Below are 7,151 nucleotides of genomic sequence, written 5' to 3' on the forward strand. Positions count from 1 at the left end.
GTGTTTTCCAACTTGGTTCCATTCTCTCCGTCACTTTCAGGTGCACCAGTGAATCGTAGGTTTGGTCTTTTCACATAGTCCCACATTTCTTGAAGGTTTTGTTCATTCCTTTTCATTCTTTTTTCTCTAATCTTGTCTTCACGCTTTATTTCATTAAGTTGGTCTTCAATTTCTGATATCCTTTCTTCTGCTTGATCAGTTTGGCTATTGATCGTATGTATGCCTCATGAAATTCTTGTGCTGTGATTTTCAGCTCCATCAGGTTATTTGTATTTTTCTCTGAACTGGTTTTTCTAGTTAGCAGTTCCTGTAATCTTTTTTCAAGGTTCTTAGCTTCCTTGCATTGGGTTAGAACATGCTACTTTGGAGGAGTTTGTTATTACCCACCTTTTGAAGCCTACTTCTGTCAATTCGTCCAACTCATTCTCCATCCAGTTTTGTGCCCTTGCTGGCGAGGAGTTGTGATCCTTTGGAGGAAAAAAAGACACTCTGGCTTTTGGAACTTTCTGCATATTTGTGCTGGTTTTTCCTCATTTTCATGGATTTATCTAGCTTTGTTCTTTGATGATGATGACCTTTGGGTGGGGTTTTTGCATGGATGTCCTTTTTGTTGATGTTGATGTTATTGCTTTATGTATGTTAGTTTTCCTTCCAACAGGCCCCTCTTCTGCAGGTCAGCTGGAGTTTGCTGGAGGTCCACCCCAGACCCTATTTGCCTGGGTATCAGCAGCGGAGGCTGCAAAATAGCAAAGATTACTGCCTGCTTCTTCTGGAAGCTTCACCCCAGAGGGGCACCAGCCTGTTGGCAGCCAGAGCTCTCCTGTATGATGTTTCTGTTGACCCCTTCTGGGAGTTTTCTCCCAGTCAGGAGGCATGGGGGTCAGGGACCCATTTGAGGAGCCAGTCTGTCCCTTAGCAGAGCTCGAGTGCTCTGCTGGGAGATTTGCTGCTCTCTTCAGAGCTGGCAGGCAGGAATGCTTAAGTCTGCTAAAGCTGTGCCCATAGCCGCCCCTTCCTCCAGGTGCTCTGTCCCAGGAAGATGGGGGTTTTATCTATAAGCCCCTGACTGGGGATACTGCCTTTCTTTCAGAGATGCCCTGCTCAGAGAGGAGGAATCTAGGGAGGCTGTCAAGTTCCAGTGGCTTTGCAGCACTGTGCTGGGTTCCACCCAGTCTGAACTTCCTGGTTGCTTTGTTTACACTGTGAGGGAAAAACTGCCTACTCAAGCCTCAGTAATGGCAGATACCCCTCTCCCCACCAAGCTTGAGCATCCCAGGTGGACTTCAGACTGCTGTGCTGGCAGCGAGAATATCAAGCCAGTGGATCTTAGCTTGTGGGGCTCCATGAGTGTGGGACCCCCTGCCTGACCAAGACCGCTTGGCTCCCTAGCTTCAGCCCCCTTTCCAGGGGAGTGAACGGTTGGTTTTGTCTCGCTGGGGTTCCAGGAGCCACTCGGGTATGAAAAAAACTTTTGCAGCTAGCTTAGTGTTGCACAAACAGTGCCCAGTTTTGTGCTTGAAACCCAGGACTCTGGTAGTGTAGGCACCCTAGGGAATCTTCTGGTCTGTGGGTTGCAAAAACCGTGGGAAAAGCATAGTATCTGGGCCAGATTGCACCATTCCTTATGGCACAATCCCTCACAGCTTCCCTTGGATAGGAGAGGGAGTTCCTTGGCCCCTTGCACTTTCTGGATGAGGTGACACCCCCACCCTGCTTTTACTCACCATCCATGGGCTACACCCACTGTCTAACCAGTCCCAGTGAGATGAACCAGGTACCTCAGTTGGAAATGCAGTAATCACCTGCCTTCTGCATTGGTCTCACTGGGAGCTGCAGACTGAAGTTGTTCCTATTTGACCATCTTGCCAGATTCTCCCCCATGACTAGCAATTGTAGTATCATAAAATATTAGCTTGAAATGAGCAAGTTAATACACTTGGTATGCTGCCCTTACTTTAAGAAAATGATAAAGAAGTAAATTGACAAGGTGATTTTGTTTTTCAGTTTTGATCTTACCCAGTGCCACCTCTCAAAATATGTATACATGTACTTATTTTATTGTTTTGATTGATTGTGAAGAATCAGTTTTTAACCAAAATAATATGATTTTATTAAATGACACTTTCTCACAAAAGCCATTTGAAGCAATGCAGAATGGGATTTTTCTCTGAACATGTCAAGTTCTGGGAGAACATTTTTAGTGTAATAGGAGAAAACTATATTTTATCTATTCAATTCTGTCATGCAAATTGGAAAAGAACTTCTGAAGGAATTACATAGGACTTCAAAATATAATACTTTCAGCAAGTTAATTGCATGAATTAATAACAACATTTTCAGACAATCAAATCAGCCCACTCCACTATGATATAAGCACGAAAAGCATGGCTCCAGTTTTGTCATTTGTGTGACCAACATATAACACTGATTAAAGCTTGTCTTGGACAAATGAATTTCAGTTATTCAAATGAACAGATATAACAGCAATGTATATTAATTTGAAAATGTAATTTCACAAGAAAATATAACGAATATTTTTCAAAAAACTACAAGTGAGAGCTTTTCTATGAGAAACCCAGTTAGCTTTATTATTAGATAGTAGCTGTTGGTAATCACACTGTTTACACAGCTGAGGAAGGCCATGGATTCAGTGCTTTGCTATTAATAACATTAATAGTTGCACTAAGCCCTCGTCAAATGTCAGACCTTTCTCAGGCTTCCCTGTGATGCAAAAGTGAAGATGTGATAATAAAAATGTTAATGCTGGTGATCATTGTGAATAAGTCCATATATCTTCAGAATGATGATTTTGCGCATATATGCTTTGGTTTGAATTTCCTCTGAAGCAGATCCTGAGACAAGAAGTTAAGAGCAAATAATTTCTCTGACAGGTGCAAATGACATTGGTAAAATTATAGGAAAGTGTTACAGGGAAGAGAAGCAGCAAAAAGTGTGATAACAAGCCAGGAACCGTATGAATATCTGTAGCTCTGTTCTACAGGAAGACTCTTAACCATGATGAAAAGCACAGACCTCAGAATTACTTCACAAGCAGGCCAAGGAAGCCAGATAATTATACATACATTTCCTAGAACCATTGATTGAGACCTTCTCTCAGAGGTTATTAATACCCTGGCACTTCCATCCTACAATAAAACATGGATAAACAGCTTTCTATGGCTCTGTAAAATGCCTTAGGCTCAAATATGTATTTACTGGCAATTGGAACTTGGTGGAAACACACCAAAATAGTGAGTTCTGAGGAACATGGGTGGGGCACTGAGAACATCTGCTGCAACTGACAAATGATTTAGCTAATTAAACAATGCATTTTAATGAGTTATCTATGATTAATTCCAAATAAAAGTAGCATCGTATGAAATCAGCTCACAATTGTTTACACATTCTTTTGCTGATTAGCAACATCTTAATGATATAGTGTTGAAAAGAATGCTTTTATATATATTGAAATTCTGCATATTAGAATTGATAATAGTAAGCCATCCTGCACTTTTTAATTTATATACGACTACTCTTGGGCTCCAAGGAACCAAAACTCCAACTGAAGGAGCTTAAACCATAAGAAGATTAACTATTTTGTATAAGAAGTCCTAACACGTGATGGATACCGAAATGGTTGGCTCAGCAACTATAACAATATGAGCTAAGATTCATGAGATTCATTGCCTCTTTAGCAGGTGGACTTTGGCCCTTAGGACAGACATACCCATGATTACAAGGTAGGTTTTGGAGACCCAAAACTTACGACTGAAGCAATGCACAATAGAAGAAAGGTTTATTTCTATCTAGGTATCTCTTTAGGAATGAAGAAGTTTTGTTCAACATCACCAAGCACAACATTTGTTTATATTCATTTTACATAATTTACTTTTAATACTGATATAACTAATATATGACACAATTTGCCATTTTGAAGTGTACAATTAAAAAATTGTTGGTATATTCACAAGATTGTGCAACCACCTAATTCCAGAACATTTTCATCATCCCACAAAAAAACACAATACCCATTAGCATTTACTTCTAATCTACTCACCCGTCCTCTGTAACTACTATCTACATTATGAGTCTATGGGTTTGTTTATTTTGGGAATTTCATAGAAATGAAGTCATATAATACGTGGCCTTTTGTTTCTGTCTTCTGTCACTTAGCGTAATGTTTTCAAGGTTCATTCATGTTGTAGCATGCATCGGTGTTTCATTCCTTTTTACGACAAAGTAATATTTTATTGTAGTAGTAATAGCAGTAGGGAGAAGATGAGAAGGATGAATTATAATAGTAATAGTAGTAAGTAGTAGCAACAGCAGTAGTAATAGCATTCAAGACCACAGTTAGTTTATTCATTCATCTGTTTATGAACATTTGGGTTGTTTCCATATTTATCTATTATAAATTATGCTACTGAACATTTTTGTAAAGTTTGTATGTGAACATACGTTTTTAGTTCTCTTGCATATGCATATGCAGAATTCAAATTCTTTATTATATGGTAACTCTGTGCTTAAGTTTTGAGGAACTGCCAAGCTGTTTTCCACTGTGGCTGCACCATGGTACATTCTCACCAGCAATAAATGAGAATTATTCCATTTTCTCCATATCCTTGGCAGAATTTGTTATTGTCTGTTTTTCTTTGAATATAGCTATTCCATATGGATATGAAATGGTGTGACATTGTGGTTTTGATTTGCATTTCCCTAATTACTAGTGATGTTGAGCAACTTTTCCTATATTTATTGAACATGTACATATGAATTTTAGTGAAATTTCTATTAATTGCTTCCCCATATTTTAATTGGGTTATCTTTTTATTGTTGATTTGCAAGTGCTCTTTATATATTCTAGATACAAAACATTTATCAGATATATGATTTGCAATTATTTTCTCCCATTCAAGCATTCTATTTTAACTTTCCTAACAGTATTATTTGAAACACAAAAGCTTTAGATATTGGTAAAATCCTATTAATGTACATTTTTCTTTTGTTGTTCATGCTATAGGTGTCAAATCTAAGAAACCACTGCCAAACTCAGGGTCATGAAGATTTAACCCTGTGGTTTTTTTTTTCCCTAAGAGTTCAATACCTCCAATGCCTCCATTGTGGTCCATTTTGTGTTCATTTTTGTGTATGGTACAAGGTAGGGGTTTAATATCACTCTTGGATGTAAATATCCAGTATTCCAGCACAATTCTTTGCAAGGCTATTTTTTTCCACAATGAATGTTCTAGCCAGGGATGTCCATTTGGTTTCTGTGGGCCACTTTGGAAGAAGTATTGTCTTGGACCACACATAAAATACACTAATGCGAGTCCAGGCGCGGTGGCTCACGCCTGTTATCCCAGCACTTTGGGAGGCCGAGGCGGGCGGATCACGAGCTCAGGAGATCGAGACCATCCTGGCTAACACGGTGAAGCCCCGTCTCTACTAAAAATACAAAAAATTAGCCGGGCGTGGTGGCGGCGCCTGTAGTCCCAGCTACTCGGGAGGCTGAGGCGGGAGAATGGCGGGAACCCGGGGGGCGGAGCTTGCGGTGAGCAGAGATGGCGCCACCGCCCTCCAGCCTGGGCGACAGAGCCAGACTCCGTCTCAAAAAAATCAATCAATAAATAACAAATACACTAATGCTAACAATAGCTGATGAGCTAGAGAAAAAAAAATGCAAAAAACCCACCTCACCATGTTTTAAGAAATTATACGAATTTGTGTTGTGCGTATTCAAAGCCGCCCTGGGCCACATGAAGCCAGTGGGCCGTGGGTTGGACCAGCTTGGTCTAGACACCCAAGTTGAAAATCTATTGGCCAAAGAGGTGTAAGTTTATTTTTGGACTCTCGATTCTATTCCATTGATCCGTATGTCTACCATTTTGCCAGTGCTGAACTTTCTTGACTATTACAGGTTTGTAGTCCATTTTACATTCAGAAGGTGTAAGCCCTCCATTTTTTTTTCTTTCAAAATTGTTTTGGCTATTTGGGGAACTTGCATTATCTTATGAATTTTACAGCCATCTTGATAATTTCTGCAAAAAAAAAAAAGGCAGGTAAAATTTTAACAGGTATTGTTTTGAATCTGCAGATCTATTTGGATCTATTGGAGAGTATTGCCTTCTTAACACGTTAAATCTTCCATTAGATAACTACAAGAGGCTTTTCCACTTATTTAAGACTTCCTTAACTTTGGTCAACAATGTTTTGTACTTTCATTGTAAGACTTGGACTTCTTTTGCTAAGTTGATTTCTAACTTTTTTTATGCTACCGTAAATATAATTATTTTAAATTTCATTTTCAGATTGTTCATTGCTATGATTTAATGCAACAGAATTATGCATAGTGATCTTGTATCCATAACCTTGCTGAACTCTCATTTATTAACTCTAATAGTTTCTTTTTGGAGGATTGCTTTATCTTACCATCTGCAAATATAAGTAATTTTAACGTTTTCTTTCCAATTTGGTTGCCTTTCCTCTATTTTCCTTGCCTAATAGTCCTGTCTAGAACCTCCAGCACAATGATGTATAGAAGCAGTGAGAGTGGACTTCTTTGTGTTATTTTTGCTTTGGGGGGTTAATTATCTGGTTTTTTTTACAGTTTAGGATGATATAAGATTGTGGTTTTCTATAAATAACTTATCAGATTGAGGAAATCACCTTCCATTATAAGTTTGTTGAGTGTTTTTACCATGGAATTATTTTTTTTTTCTGCAATCATCTGCTCATTTGGCTTACTGGCTAATCTATTACCTCAGCATAGTGTATTACATTGATTGGTTTTTGTATGTTGAATGAACCTTGCATTCCAGGATAAATTTTGCTCTGTCATTGTGCAAAATCATTTACATATGCTGCTGCTGGATTCAGTTGCTGTTATTCTGCTGAGGATTTTTGTGTCCATATTTGTAAGAGATATTGGACCGTAGTGCTCTTGTAATGTTTTTGTCTGGTTTAGGTGTCAGAGTAATTACGGCCTCAGAAAATGAGTTATAAATTGTTTCTCCTCTTCTAAACTTTCAAAAGGGTAGTGAAGGACTGGTCTTAATTCTATAAAAGATTGATAGAATTATCCAGTGAATATCCCTTAGTCTTGAGCTATTCTTTGAGAAAAGTTTCGATTACTAAACCAATTTCTTACTTGT

The sequence above is a fragment of the Homo sapiens genome, chromosome 3 (assembly GCF_000001405.40).
Source record: "Homo sapiens chromosome 3, GRCh38.p14 Primary Assembly".
Taxonomy (NCBI): Eukaryota; Metazoa; Chordata; class Mammalia; order Primates; family Hominidae; genus Homo; species Homo sapiens.